The 20,957-nt window shown below is 42.5% G+C and overlaps 1 protein-coding gene and 1 long non-coding RNA gene across 17 annotated transcripts in view, besides 2 other annotated features; one reads left to right on the top strand and one right to left on the bottom strand.

The window, feature by feature from the left end:
- Positions 1 to 2,704, bottom strand: part of ST3GAL6 (ST3 beta-galactoside alpha-2,3-sialyltransferase 6) — a 63,591-nt gene extending 60,887 nt beyond the window's left edge. For 10 of the 16 annotated variants that reach the window (NM_001323360.2, NM_001323352.2, NM_001323362.2 and 7 more), the window contains exon 1: positions 2,434 to 2,704. Coding sequence is in view for 1 of the 16 variants with exons in the window: in NM_001271145.2 (NP_001258074.1) it covers positions 1,955 to 2,102 (148 nt within the window). In the remaining 15 variants the exon portion in view is untranslated. Of the gene's footprint in view, positions 1 to 1,374; positions 1,511 to 1,954; positions 2,266 to 2,433 lie in introns of those variants that run through there. The other 6 variants (NM_006100.4, NM_001323364.2, NM_001271145.2 and 3 more) reach the window with 2 other exon arrangements.
- Positions 1,353 to 2,100: an enhancer, noted in NCBI's record as "H3K27ac hESC enhancer chr3:98451710-98452457 (GRCh37/hg19 assembly coordinates)". NCBI's record gives its function as "activates a minimal SCP1, AML or CMV promoter by ChIP-STARR-seq in primed H9 embryonic stem cells {active_cell/tissue: H9 hESC(primed)}" and the evidence as "EXISTENCE:reporter gene assay evidence [ECO:0000049][PMID:30033119]".
- Positions 2,101 to 2,849: an enhancer, noted in NCBI's record as "H3K27ac hESC enhancer chr3:98450961-98451709 (GRCh37/hg19 assembly coordinates)". NCBI's record gives its function as "activates a minimal SCP1, AML or CMV promoter by ChIP-STARR-seq in naive and primed H9 embryonic stem cells {active_cell/tissue: H9 hESC(naive and primed)}" and the evidence as "EXISTENCE:reporter gene assay evidence [ECO:0000049][PMID:30033119]".
- Positions 2,315 to 20,633, top strand: ST3GAL6-AS1 (ST3GAL6 antisense RNA 1). Its single transcript, NR_046683.1, has 5 exons — positions 2,315 to 2,540; positions 16,445 to 16,547; positions 19,189 to 19,316; positions 19,445 to 19,590; positions 20,468 to 20,633. It is a non-coding gene; the product is annotated as an ST3GAL6 antisense RNA 1 (long non-coding RNA).
- The last annotated feature ends 324 nt before the right edge of the window (positions 20,634 to 20,957 follow it).

Raw genomic sequence — 20,957 nt, 5'->3', positions numbered from 1 at the left:
TGGCAGTCTGCATGGTTAGCAGATGATGCTTATCAGGGAAATGCGGGAAACATGGCATTACTCACGTCTTCTCCCATAAGGTTCCACATGATGTGGAACACAGAAATGTCTCCAACAGAAGAAAACTGCTGTGAAATCCAGTCGTCTGCCACTGAATGAGAACACCTACGATTTACAATTTCACAGGAGACAGACTAATGTTTTTAAATGGTATGTCTCTTAATGGTATTATTCTGTCAATACTGTCTATTCTTGAGCCTCAAAGGTTTTTTATTATTATTATTGATATAGGGCATAAGAACAAACTATCTCCAACAAATCTACTGAAATGTAGTCAAAATTGCAGTCCCATTTTACTGCACCATGTAAACAACATATGGTGCAATCTGGGACTGAGACATTGTGGAACTATAGTAAAAATACAATTCAAGGAAAGCGACATCACAAGGAATGAAGATCTCCCCTCCCAGTCTACATGACCACAAGAACAGCTTAGGAAACCAGACCAATGCAACACTTTCTAGAAAAATTATCTTCTTATAAGCAAAGTTGCCATTATCCAAAGACCCTCTGTGGAATTTGGCCTTACTCAGAGACAATAAACTAAATAACAGTCTAAGGGCATCGTTTTTCGCAGATCTTGGTATGAAAAGCGTTCTTAGTGAAACAAAAAGGAAGCAACATAAACCAACTTGCAAATGTCAAATCGGCATGCTTTCAAACGGAAAATAACCTGGCAGCCTGAGCAGATGTTCCCAAATATTTAACATCTCCCTGTAAATAAAAAGACAGTTTTATGGTCTGCAGCTAGGTGAGGAAGATTGAGGACCGGAAAGTCAAACATTCGGGCTAGCCTAAAAGAGGTGGCCGCTGGAGACCCGAAGAGTTACGAGGTTCAAAGGTCAGCGTGGACACGAGACCACAGACCACGAGGAGCTTTCAGCAGATCTACAGTTTCCTTAACTATCCACCTACTCACAGCACCCAGCTGGTCCTCGTAAGGCAAATGGGACTTACGACTTTAGACTCGGTGTGATTTCTGATACACTAGCAGTCACCACGTTATTTTCATCCCTACCCCCACACACTGTTTTTAAACATTACCTTTCAACAGCAACCTCTTCTCCCCCTCCTGCTCCTCCCCACTGTCCCCGCCAACCCTCGCTACTGAAAAATCCTAAAAGAAGGTGCTTTGGGTTTGTTTTTGGTTTCTGGGCGTCGCTTTTTATAGGTTTTCTTTTAAGCCAAAATAACAGCACACAAGAAAGAGGCTTGAGATTGCCGGGATCTCCGGAGCCGGCGGCCTCAAAATGACAAGTTGCTTCTCCCTTATCTTGAAAATTAACAGCAGCCCAAACACTGCAATTTACTCACCGTCCTCCTTTCTCCTAAACTGCCTCGGAGCTTGTTTTGTTAGGTCTAGTTCCATTGTGGAGGGAAAAAGGGTTTCTCGAAAAACTTTATACGGTAAGAGACCAGAACCTTCCAGACCCCTCAACCCTCCTCGCGTACAGACCCTTTTACAAGAAAACAATAGTGAACGAGGAGCTGGACACTCCTCTTGGCTTCCCAATTGCACAACCTCGCCGGCGATTCGACAAAAGAGGGTCCCAGAGCAGATTCTCTCGGCCCCCACGGCTCCTGGGCTTACCCGCGAGGCTGCGCGTCCCTCCCGCCCTTCACTGGGGCTCCAGGATCCCCGGGTGCCCTCTCGGCGGTGGCTGCGGCGCACGCCGGCTGGCTCGCGGGTCCCAGCGCCCATGGTCCCTTTACGCCTCCGCACGCCACCTCCTTGGTGCTGGCAGGATATGTGGAGGGGCAAACAGCGCTCCGTGTCCCCACCCCCAACCCTGAGCCTCAGAGGCTGCAAAGCCGGAGGGTCGGGGCAGCACAGACCCCAGGCCGCCCGGACCCCGGCCCAGACCGGTCTTCCCGCACCCCCAATTTCCCTCACCCGGGCAGTGCAAACCCGCAGCGAAGCCGGCCGGCAAGAGTGACCCGCCGAGGCCCAGGAGCGACGACCGCAGAGGCGCACCGGGCTCCGAGACCTGAGGGGCCGCTGCTCCAGCCGGCTGCTGCCTCTCTCGCGGCGCCTGCCACATCGGGCCGCAGAAGCCCGAGGCCGGCAGAAACCAAAGGAAGGTGGCGCGGGCCAGGGGCGGCGCGGGCACGATTCCTTCCCCGCGGATCTGGCGGGGGAGCAGAGGAGGGAGCAGCCCTGCCCGGAGTCTCAGGCTCCCGCCAGCCCCAATCCCGGGCGACTGCGCCGAGCGCCTCCGGAGTCGCGGGAAGCTCCTCCTGCTCCGCGGCTGGCGCCAGTTGCACGGTGGCCGCCCCCAAATTCGAGGAGGAAGGTGCAAAGTGGTGGGAGGCTGCGGGTCTCCCGGAGGGTGAGGCGTTGGGGACCAGGCGGGAGCACAGCCGAACCCCTACCTTTCGGGCGGGGCGGACACCAGCCGCGCGCCCTCGCCGGGCGCCGGGACCGGAAAATCACCGCGAAGGGAGGGACGAGGAAAGGCGGCGGGTGGCTTCAGGACAAGGTAGGAGGATCGATTTCCACAGCCAAGAAGACACTCCCATCCCGCCCTGGTTTGTTTGGAAAGCTGCAGGAGCTAAAGTGAGGGGTGGCCGGGTACTCCCCTTCCCCGCCCGGCTGGCAGGCGGCAGAAGTAAACACTGAGGCTTGTGGCGCCGCGGACTGACTGTGACACAAGGCTCAGCAGAAGGTTTGGTCCCTATCAGAAGGGGAGGAGTGTTCAGAGAGCTCCTGAATTCCGGGGCTCTGCCCTTCAAGGGCAAATGTGTTCGTACTTTTTATCTTTTGAAGGAGATAAATTACTTTAGGGAGAACGAAGGTGGAACGTGCTGTTTGCGTTTTCTTTTCTCTCCATAGGCAAAACCCTACGTTATTAATGTCCTCTTACTTGGATGGCTCTGAATACTTTTTAAAGTGTGTTTGTCAAATAATTCCTTGTCTAGAAACATTCAAGTCATAGCTCCAACCTTTGGGCCCTGAGCAGTGTAATCACGTGCCATCAATTGACCCCAGAGAGAAGACCCACGGACTTGGATGTAATTCAAAGTTGGCAATGTGTCACGAACTGGAACAAAGTCCTTCATCTGTGATGGGCTTTCTGGTATTTGTCCTTTTTTTTTTTTTTTTTTTTGAGACAGAATCTTGCTTTGTCACCCAGGCTGGGGTACAGGGGCATGATCTTGGCTCACTGCAACCTCTGCCTCCCAGGCTCAAGCGACTCTCCTGCCTCAGCCTCCCGAGTAGCTGGGATTACAGGCTGGGATTACCACTCCCAGCTAATTTTTGTATTTTTAGTAGAGATGAGGTTTCATTATGTTGGCCAGGCTGGTTTCGAACTCCTGACCTCAAATGATCCGCTCGCCTCCACCTGCCAAAGTGCTCTGGTATTTGTCTTAATTGTAATAACAGCCCTAGGAGGTATCATTTGTTGTTTTCCCAACCTTACTTTAAAAAAAAAATGGCCGGGCGCCGTGGCTCACACCTGTAATCCCAGCACTTTCGAAGGCCGAGGCGGGCGGATCACGAGGTCCGGAGTTCCAGATCAGCCTGACCAACGTGGTGAAGCCCCGTCTCTCCTAAAAATACAAAAATTAGCCGGGCATGGTGGTGCGCGCCTGTAATCTCAGCTACTCAGGAAGCTGGGGCAGAAGAATCGCTTGAACCCAGTGAGCTGAGATGGCGCCACTGCACTCCAGCTTGGGCGACACAGCGAGCCTCTGTCTCAAAACAAACAAACAAACAAACAAACAAACAAAAAACTCAATGGGTTCAGATAATTCATATTCTTTGCCCTTTCTACAGATTGCCTTTGACATAACCCACACAGATTTTGTAATTTTAAACGTGGCTCTTGAGACATCAGGATAGTGAAAGAGTTTTAGGGAATTTGTCTATCTGAACTAATTGGTGTTGAGGTTTACTTTGCTCTTTTAATTTCTCCTGGGTTCTTCACTGACCCCTTGTTCATGATCTTAAAAACTAAAACTGTATTTCACCTCATCCACTCTGGCCTTCTGGACTTCTTGAATCTGCAAAGCAGTGTGCTAAGGAGAGAGGCTATCTGCTGTTCTGAGGTGACGTTTGTATTTCATATTTGGTAGTGGCCAGTAGTGACTACTGTTGACCCCAACCTAGTTCAAAAGCTACCTCTTCTGCTGACCTGCTGTGTGACTTTGGGCAAGTGGCATTACCACAGTGGGCTTCATTTTTTGTCAGGTGTAAAGTGAGATAATACAGCTAGTCTTGAAGGGTGATTAGGATTAAAACAGTCTCTGTTGTAAAGAAGGCTTGGCACAGTGCTTGCCCCCAAAACCATCAATTCAGGAAGTAAAATGTTGACTTTAAAAATAACGCTAAAAATATTAACTACCAGTCATTGCCCACCATGAGTCAGCCACCCACCATGCATTGTATCTGTTCCTCTCACTCACCCTGCAAGCCAGTCATGGTAGAAAGGAAGGAACAGAGTCAGGTGGTCTAGGGCTGTGCTGCCTACATTGGAGCTGTGACTCAAAGGAAAGCACCTGAGGCCAAAATCATTGTTCTTTCTGAGATATCACTGCTATGTAACTCTCTGTGATGGGAGGGGCTTTTGATCAGTGTAACATTAATTTTTAAAAATTCAAGATATATTATTGTATGGGCACATGATTGCTATTATATAAATATTTTATATTCCTGTGGAAACTGACAAAGGCTTAAGTAGGGTGATGGAATTAAAAGTTTTTAGTCCTCTCTGGGTTAGTGTTTTTGGTCATTGTTTTGGAGAAAATACCCTCCCAATATATGTATATTTAATTTGGCCTTTTGGTAGAAGATTTCTTCTAATAAGCTGGGAGGGGAAAAGCCACAAAGAAGGAGAGGACTCTTGGGACATGCAAGGTCTTTCAAAGGCCCCTAAAATTATAATTTTCAGGCAGTGTACATATAGGGCTGGCCCTGTTTTACTAGGTTTGTTTTTTTTATTATGGTGGTGCAGTCTCTTTAAAATAAATGCTATTGTTTCATAGACTGTCGCCTCTGCGCACCAGTGACAGGTAGAGGCCAGGTTCCCCACATTACCATGGGAGGCCATTCAGCACTAAATGTGCAGTCTAGAATAGACCAAAGTATTTCCTCCTCATCCCCATTGTAGGGCCTGCCTTCTAAATTCTCCTGTTCTGTGCCAAGTACAGCCTTTTCTGCCATGACTGATGGCAAGAATGTCTACTCCTTGTAGGAGAGACCTACTCATAAGGGTGTGCTCTCAGCAAGACAATCAGATCAGATCATAGTAAGTGAACCCCAGGACTGGAGATACCTATAAAGTGACATGAGGCCACTTTCTTACAACATCCTCTTAGAATAATTTTTAAAACTTTAAATTTTTTTTTCTTTTACAGTACATGATGTTCAAAAGGTTTCTTTTTAAAAACAGTTTTCAAGGTCGAGTTCAATTTTTTTTTTTTTTAATTTGACACATTGGTCAGAGAACATTGAGTTCAATTTTAAACACCATCTAGCTCATGACTGAGCTTGACCAAGCTAATCGTTTTTACATACAATCCTTCCTCCAACTCAAGGAGAAAATCCTGCCAGTGCAGTCTTCTGGCTGTCTTGGAGTTTTATCTCCTATAAGCAATTATTTAAAGAACATGTGCATCTCAAAAATAATAAGCCACAGTAGGTCGGGCGCGGTGGCTCACGCCTGTAATCCCAGCACTTTGGGAGGCCGAGGTGGTTGGATCATGAGGTCAGGAGTTAGAGACCAGCCTAACCAACACGATGAAACCCCGGCTCTACTAAAAATACAAAAATTAGCTGGGTGTGGTGGCGCACGCCTGTAATCCCAGCTACTCAGGAGGCTGAGGAAGAAGAATTGCTTGAGCCTGGGAGGCAGAGGCTGCAGTGAGCCGAGATCCTGTCACTGCACTCCAGCCTGGGCTACAAGCGAGATTCCATCTCAAAAAAAAAAAAAAAAAAAAAAAAACCCACAGTGCCTAAGCAGTATAAATCCTGACTTACAGCTATGACTGTCCACAGTGTAGAAAATGTATCACATTAGCAAAAAGCAGTTTAGTTGCATTAAGCAGAGTCATACTTCTCCAAAATCTCTATTTCAGACTAGAGTCTCAGCTACATTTTTGCATATGTAAATATCCATTGTGATGATTTTTCCAGTATTGTGATTGTACAGAAAAGGAAGTCAAGTCTACCAGGAAGCTTATTTGCAGCTTCATAAATGATGACATCCTCATATTCTACCAGTTTTGTCAAAGTTTCAGGGGTCTTCATTGCTCAGTCTCTTTTACCACAGGCTGGAAGGTGAGGGGAGGTGGGATGGTGTGACTGGCGATAAGTTCATCCCAAACTCCTGAACATGTAGAACATCTGTACAGTGGAAACCGTAAATAGGGCAACTGACAGAAAATAATTGCAATGTATTTTTTTTAAAGGGAGAATATCCAGAATATGTTAAAAAAAATGCCTATGGATCAGTACCAAAAAAAAACCCTATTTTAAAATAGAACACAAGCCATAAACAAGCAATTCGTACAATAAATACAAGGGCCAGGTGCAGTGGCTCACGCCTGTAATCCCAGCACTTTGGGAGGCTAAGGCGGGCAGATCCCCTGAGGTCAGGAGTTCCAGACCAGCCTGGCCAACATGGCGAAACCCCGTCTCTACTAAAAATACGAAAATTAGCCAGGCATGATGGCGGGCACCTGTAATCCCAGGTACTAGGGAGGCTGAGGCAAGAGAATTGCTTGAACCTGGGAGGCAGGGGTTGCAGTGAGCCGAGATCGTGCCACTGCACTCCAGCCTGGGCGACAAAGTGAGATTCTGCCTCAAAAACAAAAAGAAAAGAAAAGAAAGAACAAATAGTTTACAACCATGTGCAAAAATTTGTGTCCTTTTATAATAATACTACTTTAAAAAAATAATGAGAAATAAGATTGGCTGAAACTAAAAAAAATGAATGCGATACAATTTTGTTAAAAGGTGTCAGAAAACTGTTTATGGAATTGTAAAGTGCTACTTCCTTTTTAGAGAGCAATTTGGTGATTGGTATCAAATTTACAAGGTTGTTTAGGGTTTGAATTTCAAGACCCTAATTAAAGTTCCTTAACTTTTCTCCTTAGAAGACATTTTGGCCTCAAGTCAACAAGCAATGTAGCAATGTAGGGGGTGGAAAAGAGCTCTCTTAGTTGACTCCTAGCTACCTTGGTCAACACGGGAGGAAAACTTCCAATTGCTGAGCGGTTGCCAATACAGACTCAGAGATGGTGGGAGCTCTTCCTGGAGTTGTGTGGGGGCAATCTACAAAATAATGGCAACTTGGGGCAAGGCAGCTTCCTCAGAGCTCTTATTTGATTATGGGAAGGACTAGAAGCCTGAACTACTGTACGAGTTGATGGGCCCCCCTTTCAGGAGAGGAGGGAGGTATCTCACCCCATATGTCTGTGGAGCTTTTCTCCTCATTTCTGCTTCAGAGTCTCAAAACTAATAATTCTGTCAAAGTATTACAAATAGCTTTACTTTAGGTATACACTTAATTCATTAGTTATGCTTAACCTTTTTAGCTTACACCTTTGTCTCGTTTTGGGGGGTTTACAGAGCTGGACTTAAAGCAACTTCATGTGAATGTTTGTAAAAATATTTCCAAATGCTTGATTTTCACAATAAGCACCTATTGACTTTGTAGCTGAAAAAATTTTTTTCAAAACATTTAACACTTAGAAAGTTTTACATGCAATTGCTTAGAGACATCAAATTGACTTTTACTTGTTGGGGAAGGGAGATCAATTATTTTTCTGAGAAGTGACAACAGCTGATATTGTAAAGGGGTGTGTGCGCAATTATCATTAGGATCTTGATAGTTACAGTACTTTGGCTATTTATTCTCATCCTCAGAATTAAAAGAACTCATCTACCCCCAAACTTATGATTCTCTCATCATCATAAGGATACTTAGAGTGGCTTGTCAAGCTGAGACACTAATAGGATACAAATTTCGTGCTGGGGAATACACAAGAAATTGCCACACATGCACACTGGGGGCCCTCTCTCAGCTTTTGATCATTACACCTGGAAGTAAACGGAGTGACACCAAGAGAATAGAAAAAAAAAAAAAAAAAACCTCACATGTGAGTTCATATTTGCTATATCCCTCTAGATGCTAGGAGATTTTCTATAGATTATATTGTTTATTACACACATCAACCCTGAGGGCTATCATTATCCCCATTTTCCAGATGAAGAATTGAAGACTCAGAGAAGTTTCATAATTTGTTCAAGGATCTAGAGCTAATATGTGTCAAAACGGGGACATAGTGCCTTTCTGTTCAAGAAATAAGAAAAATTAATACCTATTATTCTACAATGTGACATTCCAGGAAAACATTTATAGCCATAATAAATTTAATGTGAATCCTGTGAAGCCTTAATTAGCCTTTTGTGAATGAGTATTAAGCTGTCAACTGAAATGGAATTGCAGTCATTTCCAGTTCCCATTGTTTCAGTTCTGGTTCTCAAACACCATGATGTTTTCTTCAGGGATATGTAGAATGTAGATTACTGAAAACTTTCTTCAGGACCACAGGCATCATTCCTCCTAGCTGAGTCAATGATCTCTTTCACTCACTCTTCGGGGATGAATCCAATTTTTAAGGTAACTGTAGTGGCAGAAGCAGTAACTAATGGCATCAGGCTCATAGGAAAAATATGTTTAGCAGCTCCCTAGGAGCATGCAAAACCAGTACTTCAGTTCTTCATTTCTGCTTCTTATGGGGAACTGTTTATTATACTACAGAACATTATGAATACAAGAGAAACAGCATTAATAATTAAAGAGCCATACATACAGGGAACATCTTGCGATGAACTGAATGCGTTCCCCAAAAATTCATACATTGAAATCCTAACCTTTCATTCGTTCCCATGATGGTATTAGGAAGTGGGCCCTTTGGGAGGTAATTAGGTCATGAGGGTGGAGCACTCATGAATGAGAATAATGCCCTTATAAAAAGGGCCCCAAAGATCTCTCTCAAACTCCTTCTATCGTGTGAGGATGCGACAAGAAGATGGCAGTCTGCAGCCTGGAAGAGGATCTTCAGCAGAGCTCAGCCATGATCTCAGACTTCCAGCCTCTGGAACTAAAAAATGAATATCCACAGTTTCCAAGCCACGCAAAATCTATGGTACTTTGCTGTAGTAACACAAACTAAGACTTGTGAACATCTGAAATAGAAGTATAAAGAAAGATTTAAATTGGCGATTTTTTCCCAGTGATTTTGACTACTAATCTGTTTTACTACAGTTTTTGTTTGTTTTTACTATATCTTCTTGTAAACCTTTTAATTTACTTTTTGTACTCAAAAGTGCCATGTTAGCAAAAGTTTTCCAAATCCTGTTCATTAATGGCAGTGACTGTTACTTGTGACGAGTATGTTAACCATATGGTGATATACTGACCATCCAAACAGCTATCTGCAATGCTTCAAAAGTGGTAAATACTGATAACTTCAATCATCATTATAATTTTTTATTATCCCCAAAAATGAAGGGTCTTATGAATCCTTACCTAAGGACTAAAAAAGAACACATATAATTTGTGCTCTTTGGAGAAAGGGAAGGATGTAAGCAGAATTTAATTGTATGTCTCTGCTTATCACATAATAAATTAATGCATTTTAACAAAATCAAATGGGTCCTGGACTTTGGACCCACAATATTTTGTATAAGCGATAAAAGATTTTACTGGCTATAGATTACAAAGTTGAATATTTTGAATCTTCCTGGGCCCTTGATAGTGAAGAGTCCTGCTTACTGACAATGTCTCAGACAAAACTCTAATCCACAGGCTGAAAAACAGTAACACACCAATACTAAAGATTTGGAAGTTGTTCCTAAATTTTACTTAACCCCAGGATTATTCACAGGTTCATTTGAACATCACTTCAGAAAAGGTGCATGTCCCTTCCAGTTCAGTACCGCCTACCTCCAACACTTACTCTGTATCTGAGATCTCTCAAGGATTCATTACCCAACTTCCATTGAGGGACTAGCGAGTCTTCTATTCCTAGCTCTGACTACTTTCTTAAGTCTTAGTCTTGTATCTCCAATTGCCTGCTGAACATTCAGTTTAACATGTGTTTATCAGTTCCCAATGTAAAGCTAAACTCTTTAGGCTTCCAGCTCAGCCAGCCATTTAACTTACATTTTTATTGGTGATAATGCTTTTTCTCCCACTTATGAAACCTCAGTCATCCTGACCTCTCCTTTTTCTCATCTTACTTGAACTTTCCTCCTTCATGTCATTAACATACTTCATATTCAATCATTAAATACATCTTTACTTAGTGCCTACTATTTGCCAGGCACTATAGTTCTAGGTGCTAGGAGTACAGTTTACCAGCAGGAAAATAAAAAGAAATTATTGCTTGCTCTCTCTAGAGGTGCTCGCTCGCTCTCTCTCTCTCTCTCTCCCACCCTCGAGAGAGAGCAAATTTTTTATTTTTATTTTATAAAATTTTTAGAGACAGGGTCTTGCTCTGTCACCCAGGCTCGAGTATAATGAATAACACAATCATAGCTGACTATAGCCTCCAAATCCTGGGCTCAAGTGATCCTTCCACCTCAGCCTCCTGAATAGCTCAGATTACAGGTGCGCACCACCACACCGGCTATTTATTTTTTGTAGAGACAAAGTCTCACTATGTCGCCCAGGCTGCTGCTCCAACTCATGGCTTCAAGTGATCCTCCGCTTGGCCTCCCAATGTAATGGGATCACAGGTGTGAGCCACCATGCCTGGCTGCTTACAGTCTAATATTTAATGGTGTCCAGAAAGAGTCTTCAGAGGTCATCTTGTTGATCGCTTTATCTCTGTTTCACTTGTGCTTCCCCTCCCATAGTGTTCATTCGCATTCCCTGTGGGAGGTCACCTAGAGCTGGGATCTGTGCGATGCTATCCCAGGGATCCACAACTCACCATTCTACTTCTCAGTCTTGGGCTAGTCGCCCAAACTCTTTCTCTCCTTAGGTTTCTTTTCTCTTTCTCTGTAGAATAACCTGCCTCTTCCACCTCGCCACGCTCATTCCCCTAACATGAAGCACAACAGTGGACTCCTGCTTCTCTGACTCAATCAGTCTAAGATTTCTAAACAAAAGAAACACAAGTTGAGTTGTCTTCTGGATATCTGGTGACTTTTAGTTTTTATTCTGTAACCAAAAAATCACTGAGCCAACAGAACACCAAAGCTCTGTTACCTTCTTGAGATGGAGGAGTGATAAATATTTACAGCAGGGATATATGTGGGAACATAAAGAGATTTAAGAGTAATTCCTGTTTAACAGTCATCTATCAACACAAGGCAAAATATGGCCACCCCAAATATATGAAAGCCCTCAACAGACAAGAAGTCAGATGAAGCAGGGGGAAAAAAAAAAAAAGACCGAGCACAGTGGCTCGCGCCTGTAATCCCAGCAATTTGGGAGGCCGAGGCAGGCGGATCACGAGGTCAGGAGTTCAAGACCATCCTGGCCAACAGGGTGAAACCTCATCTCTACTAAAAATACAAAAATTACCTGGGCGTGGTGGCGTGTGCCTGTAATCCAAGCTACTTGGGAGGCTGAGGCAGGAGAATCGCTTGAACCAGGGAGTCGGAGGTTGCAGTGAGCTGAGAGCGCACCACAGCACTCCAGCCTGCCAACAGAGCAAGACTCCATCTCAAAAAAAAAAGAGGGGAGAGGGGATTTTGCATTCATTATCATATCTAATAGCAACAAATCTAGTAGTTAGATATTACTGAGGTAATATGATGAGAGCAGAAACAGTCAAGGACAGAACCAGAGGCAAACCCAGGTCTCCGTGGGTCCAAAGCAAAGACACACAAACTCACCTGACAGAAGCGGGGGATCCAGTGCTCTTTTAGGAACCCTCTCAATTGACTCTGACATAAAAATAAAAATTTTAACTGAGGAGAACAGATATAATTTAATTCTCAACTTTCTGAGGTTTGATGAAATATTGATAACAAGTAACTAATTCATGTCATTACTTTTTTTTTAACTTTAAGACTAAATTTCAAGTTTGTCATTACATTTCCATTTTTTTCCTTGTAAAAATTGTGCTTTTCTTACTATCCTTAAAAAGAAAGATCTGGGAATGGCCTATTAAGTAAACAGCTGTCTGATGCAGCAGCCCAGACCTTACAGTTTTCCCTTCTTTGTAAATGTTATTTCGGAAAAGATTCAGTACTTTAGGAATTGAGTAGCCTTTTCCAAATTGTATCGTGCTGGGAGATGCTAATCTGAGTTCTAAGAACAAAGGATATCTCGCAAACAAGATTGAGTACTAACCTCGCCTCCCACACCCCTGCCTCCAGGCCATATTCAGTACATATTAGCATATTAAAGAACCAGGTAAAAACAGCAAAAAGGAAAGCTGTTTAACTTTCCTTAAATGTTAAACAGATCTAAACAAGCTTGTTTTTGTGTCAAAGACTTTTTTATTCAGTATTCTATCATAATCTCCTATCTCTATCTCCCAAAACAAATTAAAACAACAATAAAAAAACCAATTGCTGTAGATTTGGGTCTGTATATATCCAGTTGGAGGACCAACAGCTGGGATCTTTGATAAAATCAACTGTGACTATAAAGGGTTAAAGATGAAAGTCACTTTATTTCATTAGGAATTTATTTATCAATCTATTAATTTATTTTAGAGACAGGGCTGGAGTCAATGGCACAGTTATTCATTGCAAGCTCAACTCCTGGGCTCAATCCTCCTGTCTCAGCCTCCTGACTATCTAGGACTAAGGGATAATACTACCACACACGGCATATCTATCTATCTGTGTGTCTGTCTGTCTATCTATCTATCTATCTTTACTTATTTATTTATTTTATTTTTTTTTTTGTAGACAGGGAGTCTTGCTATGTTGCTCAAGCTGGCCTTAGATATCTGGCCTCAAGCAATCCTCCCAAGCTGGCTTCACAAAGTACTGGGATTATGGGTGTGAGCCACTGCACCCAGCTCTAGAAATATATTTAGAAGAAAATTGCTTGGCAAACTTGCAGTGACAGGTTTAATATAAAATCATCACTGTATTTTTGAAACCATACATCTATCAGCATTTCCTTTTTTTTTTTTTTTTTTTTTTTTTTTTTTTTTTTTTTTTGACAGAGTCTCGCTCTGTCGCCCAGGTTGGAATGCAGTGGCGTGATCTCGGATCACCGGAACCTCCACCTCCTGGGTTCTAGACATTCTTCTGCCTCAGCCTCCTGAATAGCTGGGATTACAGGTGCATGCCACCATGCCTGGCTAATTTTTGTATTTTTAGTAGAGATGGGGTTTCACCATATTGGCCAAGCTGATCTTGAACTCCTGACTTCAAGTGATCTACCCACCTCGGCCTCCCAAAGTGCTGGGATTACAGGCATTAGTCACCGCAGCCGGCCAGCATTTTCTAATATTTTATTATATAAGTATTTATGTTTTAGTTCATGCATAATAAAATAGATTCTGGTCCAAATCTGGATAAATGTCTGAAATAATTTTCTATTATTTTGTCTGCTGGCTTTTCTCATTTCTATAGAAGCAGCTTGTGCAATGTAAATTCTCTAGCATTAAATACTTTTACAATCAAAGTCTTAGTGCAACAGAAATTCCTTTGGCATCAACCTATGTCTACTTATTTCCAGCACAACTTGATAGTACATCAGAATGTGAACTGAATATTGGAATGATATTTGATATGTGTATCACACCTTCATTAATTTATTGCTTTACATATTTCATGAGAACCTATGTGTCCAGCACAGTGGCATTGTAGGCACTGGACATACACAGTTCTAGATGGAGTTTCTGCCTTGGGAGGTGATATGAGGAAAATAGTCATTGAGACTAAAAATATTTACTGAGATTCATACTTGTCATGCATTGAGCTAGGTTCAGAGAATACAGTGGTGAACAGACAGGTTCCCTATCTTGATGATGCTTGCAGACATTGTTCATTCAAGCTGCTATAACAAAATACCATAAACTGGGTAGCTTGTAAACAAAAAACATTTATTTCTTATAGTTCTGGAAGCCGTTAAGTCCAAGATCAGGGTGCTGGCAGATTTAGTGTCTGGAGAAGGCTTGCTTTCTCATAGATGACAACTTCTTTGTCCTCCCCTGGTGCAAGGGGCCAACCAGCTCTCTGATGCCTCTTTGATAAGGGAATTAATCTCTTATAAGGCTCTTCCTTCATGACCTAATCACCTCCTAACCCCACCTCTTAACACTATTGCATTGAGGACTAGGTACAACATGTTTGGGGGAAACACAAACATTCAGACCATAGCAGATATGTAGACTAATACTATTTCAGCATATTGCAACTATTAGACATAAACAGCATTAATAGAAAAAAGGACACAACCTCCTAGGTACATCAGGAAAGATGGAATTGGTGATGTGCTTTATGCAGAATATAATTGTCTCTTTTTTTCTTAATTTTTCTTTACTAGTATTGCCTTATCTTTGCTTTAAATAAAGCATGCATGTACCCAAGATTTGCCAGAAGAACGATTCTATCTCAGGATTCTCAGCCACTGAGATGTGAAATGGCTTTCCAAAAAAATCTTCAGTGCTCGGACACTCTGATTCATACCACCTAACATAGCTCAAAGCCATAGCATGGATCACTGATGCCTGCCTAGGGTTTCTGATTCTGTAGGATTAAAGTGTGATATGAGACTTTGTACTGTTAACAGGCTCCCAGAAGTTGCTGATGCTGCCAGTCCAGGGGCCACACTTTAAAAATCATAGTTTAAAGGATTAAATATACCAACTTAAAAGTTAAAATAATTATTGGAAGATTGTGAGGCAGATAATATCTCTGTTTCACAGGATGAATAACAAGCCTAGGTTATTTAGAAAATGCAAAGTTATAAGGAGATAGACAAAACTAAATACAGTAATAAATATTTCATGTCCTCAGTGCAACAGTCTATTAACTTGAAGCCCAAAGCCTCCATCTATCACTGATCATCAGAATCCAAAATACTTTGAGGATGAAATGCTTTATTTGACTTGTTATCACTCTCTTTTTTTAATCTCATAGACAGATGTTTTAGAAATTTAGATATTAAAAAGTTGTGACCGCATCTGTGACCAGTATTATAATGCTGGACTTCATGATGCGGCCTCAAGGCCACTGCTTTAATGTAGGTAGGCAAATTCCTTTTTTCTTTCTGCAGCCTCAACCTCCAAGGCTCAAGTGATCCTCCTGCCTCAGCCACCTGAGTAGCTGGGGCTACAGGCATGCGCCACCATGCCCAGCTAATTAAAAAAAAAAAAAAGGTAGAGATGAGGTCTCACTATGTTGCCCAGGCTGTTCTTGAATTCCTGAGCTCAAGCGATCATCCTGCCTCAGCCTTCCAGAGTGCTAGGATTATAGACGTGAGGCACCGTGCCTGATGGCAAACTCCTTTTAAGACAGCATCAGGCTGGGCGCGTTGGCTCATGCCTGTAATGCCTGCACTTTGAGAGGCTGAGGTGGGTGGATCACCTGAGGTCAGGAGTTGGAGACCAGCCTGGCCAACATGATGAAACCTTGTCTCTACAAAAAATACAAAAGATTAGCTAGGAGTGGTGGTGGTGAGCGCCTGTAATCCCAGCTACTCAGGAGGCTGAGGCAGGAGAATTGCTTGAACCTGGGAGGCGGAGGTTGAAGTGAGCCGAGATGGCACCACTGCACTACAACCTGGGTGACAAGAGTGAAACTGGGTCTAAAAAAAAAAAGACAGCATCAGTGAGAGCAAACAACAGGGACAATGATGGTGGTAACAGTCCAGAGGAATTTGGCAACATGAAGAGACAGATGCCAACTAAGTGACTTGAAATGAGAAAAGCAAAATGAACATGGAGAGAATTTATATTTTCAGAAGAATCTATTTGAGGTCTGAAAATTCAGTGTACCCAGTATCAAGAGGACTATACTCATAAACAGAGTTATAAATAGAAACATCATAACCAAGTCAAAAAAGAAAGTATCTATACTGTATTTTCCTTCTGCTGCTGCTGTAACAAAGTATCACAAACTCAGTGGTTTAAAACAACACAAATTAATTTTTCTTTTAGTCCTGGAGGTCAGATGTCTGAAATCAACGTGTCAGAAAGGCTATGTTCCCTTCTGGAGGCCCTTGGGGGCAATTTTTTCCCTGCCTTCTTCAGCTTCTAAAGGCTACCTGCATCCCTTGGCTCTTGACCCCTTTGTCCACCTTCAAGGTCGGCAGCACGGTGTCTTTAGAGAAAGAGTTCTCTGACTGCAGGCCCTGCTTCCCTCATCAGATCTCCTTCTCTGACTGTCTGTCCTGCTTCCTTTTTGTCATCAGATCTCCTTTTCTGACTGTCTGTCCTGCTTCCTTTTTCTCAGGACTTTGTGATTACATTGGGCCCATCCAGATCATCCAGGATCATCTTCCCATCTCAAGATTCTTCACTTAATCACATCTGCAAAATTCCTTTTGCTGTGTAAGGTGACGTATTCACAGTTTCTGGGTATTAGGATGTAGACATCTTTGTGGGTGGAGGGAGGAATTATTTTTCTACATATGCTATTTATTTTGTTCTATCAAAAAACTCTTGAGGGTGCCGAGCATGGTGGCTCACGTCTATAATCCTAGCACTTTGGAAGGCCGAGGTGGGCGGATCATTTGAGGTCAGTAGTTCGAGACCAGCTTGTCCAACATGGTGAGACCCCAGTCTCTACTAAAAATACAAAAATTAGTGGGGTGTGGTGGTGCGTGCCTGTAATCCCAGCTACTCGGGAGGCTGAGGTAGGAGAATCACTTGAATCCAGGAGGCAGAGGTTGCAGTGAGCTGATATCATGCTACTGCACTCTGGCCTGGGCAACAGAGCGAGACTCCATCTCAAAAAAAAAAAAAAAAAAAGAAACCAACAAAAAACTTGGGGTAGTGTTTTCTGGGCATATTTTCAGGAGGACATTGATTAATGGTGTTATATGGAAGAGTATAGAGAATAACCATGAATCATTCATTCACTTGACAAACATTCATGAAGCATTCCCTATGCACCAGACATACTGATACACAGAGCCAGACTTAGGGCAAGGATAACTCTGGGGATATGGGTAAGAACATGCTGAAGCTGTACAGTGTGGTACTAATGAGCCAGGACTCTGGAGTCTTATGATTTGGCTTTGAATCTTGGCCCCACGATTTATAAACCTTATGACCTAAGCAAATTACTCATCTGTGTTTACCTCAATTTTGTCACTTATGAAGCTAAGAAAATTAATATCTGTACCATAGGGTTCTAGTGAAGACTAAATAAGGTTATTGATAACGTTTTTGGCACACTGACTGGCATAAAGAGTTCAAGAAGTGTGGGCATGGAGGAGGAACTAGAGAGGACTACAAACAGAACATGGAGTACTTACTGCCATAGGGACTTTGGAAAGGCTTTCCAGAGCTAAGCCTTGAAAGCTGAGTTTCATGTCATCAGTTGGGAGTTGAAGAGATGAGGGTTATGCCAGGAGCAGACATAGTGATGAATTTGGAAACCATGAGGAAGGGCTGAGGAGATTGGGAGGAAAAGGGCTGGGGGTCAAGGAGGACCAATATTTAAATATTGTGCTTCAGCCAGGCACCATGGCTCACACCTGTAATCCCAACACTTTGGGAGGCCTAGGCTGGTGGATCTCTTGAGGCCAGGAGTTTGAGACCAGCCTGGCCAACATAGCGAAACCCTGTCTCTACAAAAAATACATAAATTAGGCCAGGCGCGGTGGCTCACGCCTGTAATCCCAGCACTTTGGGAGGCTGAGGTGGGCAGATCATGAGGTCAAGAGATCAAGACCATCCTGGCTAACTTGGTGAAACCCCACCTCTACTAAAAATACAAAAAAGTAGCTGGGCGTGGTGGCGGGCGCCTGTAGTCCCAGCCACTCGGGAGGCTGAGGCAGGAGAATGGCCTGAACCCCGGAGGCAGAGGTTGCGATGAGCTGAGATCACGCCACTGCACTCCAGCCTGGGTGACAGAGACTCCGTCTCATAAAATAAATAAATAAATAAATAAATAAATAAATAAATAAATAAATAAATGAATAAATAACCAAAAAAAACATAAACTAGCTGGGCGTGGTGGCATGCACCTGTTGTCCCAGCTAACAGGAGGCTCAGGCATGAGAATTGCTTGAACCCTGGAGATGGAGGTTGCAGTGAGCCAAGATCCCGCCACTGCACTCCAGCCTGGGCAACATAGCAAGACCCTATCTCAAAATATCTATATATCTATATCTTTTGATAGATATAGATATATAGTGCTTGGATATTGACACAGTAATGAGAAATTAGACTTATTTTACTTCTATACAGAAAAATACCCAAGCCTAAGTGGAAATGACAGAAATAACTTTTATCTCCATATTTGAAAGAAATTGTGATTAATAAGGATTTCCTTAATTTTTTGAGGACAATATAAACCCTTCTCTGTGCACCACTCACTGTCAAAACACACTGCCTTCTTTGTGGGGTATCTACTTTATGTCCATTTTCCTCTTCACTTGTGTTAATAGGAGCCCAAGTATTTTCATGATCAGTGGGCCGTAAACTTTAAAGGAGGCTGGGCTTTTCTCCCGCCCCAAGGGTGTAAATCAGGATTGGTTTGAGCCAATCATGACAACCATTGCCTTTGTCATTGGTTAAGACAATGGACATTGGTTACGATGGACGTGTGGCACAATTCTTGCTGATGACATAGGGGAGGAAAGGCTTTGGAAAAGTTTTTCTTATCTCTTAAAAAGATAAATGAAGCTGAGTGCAGTGGCTCACACCTATAATCCCAGCACTTTGTGAGGCTGAGCCTGGAAGAGCACTTGAGCCCAGGTGTCTGAGACCAGCCTGGGCAACATGACGAAACCGCATCTCTACAAAAAATACAAAAATTAGCCAGGCATGTTGACATGCGTCTGTAGTCCCAGCCACTTGGGAGGCTGAGATGGGAGGATCACCTGAGCCTGGGAGGTTGAGGCTACAGTGAGCCGAGATTGCACCACTGCATTCCAGCCTGGGCAACACAGGCCGTGTCTCAAAAATAAAAAAATAAAAATAAAAATAAATAAATGAGGGATGTGGCTGCACTCTCTTCTCTTCCAGCTGTGAGATATCGGTGGGCGAGGATGTGATGCCTGAAGATGTGGCATCTACCTTGAAACAGTCAAGGACCTGAGGATGAAGCCAGCATCTGAGGAAGACAGACAGAAAGGATCTGGATACATCATGAGGTAAATGAGCTGCTAAATTATCCAAACCTGGAATAATAATAAAATATGTCATTTAGTATATTTACAGGTAGTATATTCAAGTACATTCAATGTTAAAGTCAATCATGATATTCTTCCCCTTCTTACAGCCTGAAAAGTATCTTGCATACACAACTGGCAGCACAGAATCCTGACAAACCTCTCATCAGAAATCAACCACAGACTCTTTATGCTCTTACCAAAATGCTGGCTTTGAGAACTAATTATGAATGAAAATTACTGATGTGATTTTCAGGTGAGAGACCCTATTAGACAAAATTTTGGATTCATTTTTTTCTCTTGAGTAAAACATGGGGAAAAAATCTTTCTCAATTTTATCTTTGAATCAAACTATATCATGAAAGGGCTATGTTTTTATCCCTTACAATTAATACCATGAAGGGTCCAGCAATAGAATACATCACCTGTATTAACTATATAACTATCTTTCAGAATTAATTCCTGCATAGGTAAATGAGTAATTCTCTAATTCCTACAATTTCTACAACTCTAAGATTCTGTGATATCAAAATTTTCAAGTATTATACTAAACTCTCAATATATATTGATAAGCTGGTTCTTTTGCTATTGCAAAAATTCAACTAAGAGATAGGAAAATGGGTCAATGGCAACAACAAATTAATGGAGACTGCAGCAAAAGATTATTTAACATACTTTCTTCCCTTTTATGGAAAAGAGAGCTGTTCTCCTTTTTGAACCATATTCCCCTAAATACCCTCACAATCTTCTTAGGCCTCTCACTCCTTCATTTTCTTTTCTAGCCCCTTCATCTCATCCTTATTTTGAATTCAGATGAGTTAATACAGTTTGATGGCCTAGTTCAGATTCTAGAAAGGGACAGCTATTCAGAGATGATAGTGACATGCTTTTCTCTTCTCACATTGCTTCTCTTTAAAGAATTTACAGGACTTCTGCCTACATTTACATCTGAAAACAATAGTTTCATTTGGTGTCACATCCTTGCCCAAATTTATTGAGAATATTGGTAAAGGACAACATATTTACAAGGATTTCTTTATTAAAAACTGGGGAGATTGGCAAGTGACACTGTCACTAAATAAATAAAAATAAAAACTGAGAAAAGCAATAACATTTGATTTGTCATTTCCCAGTCTAGGGAAGAATATCAAGTTAAACTTTATGAAGTCCAAGACAATGGGAAAAGAAGAGGTGTTCCTGTCCAGGCCCTCTTCCAGTTAGAAGGTGATGGTTTCCAGAAGTCTGCACCTGTATTTCAATTACCTATAATGGAGTTTATAGGACTAAACTATATTCACTATATTTTCTTATTTTTGTGTGTGTGTTTGATGTGCTGGCAACTGGGGACTTGGTAACTGGGGAGGGATAGCTCTTCTCAGGAAGAGCTAATTCTTAGAGATACAGGGAGCATGCTTTTCATATGCAAACTACTCAAACTGGAGTCCACACTTCCCCAACCTCCTCTATAGGACTCTTACTCTCCTGCCCGATATTCCCCTGCTCTAATCATCTTGGGGCCAGGTACCAGGCAACTCAGGACGGCCACTACACCTCCAGAGCCCACTGACATTATTAAAACTAGACAATTCTAAGCTGCTTGCCCTACCTTGACCTTATTCCTTT

The sequence above is a fragment of the Homo sapiens genome, chromosome 3 (assembly GCF_000001405.40).
Source record: "Homo sapiens chromosome 3, GRCh38.p14 Primary Assembly".
Classification (NCBI taxonomy): domain Eukaryota; kingdom Metazoa; phylum Chordata; class Mammalia; order Primates; family Hominidae; genus Homo; species Homo sapiens.
The sequence above is the reverse complement of the archived record's forward strand: the minus strand, read 5'-3'. Positions and strand labels throughout refer to the sequence as shown.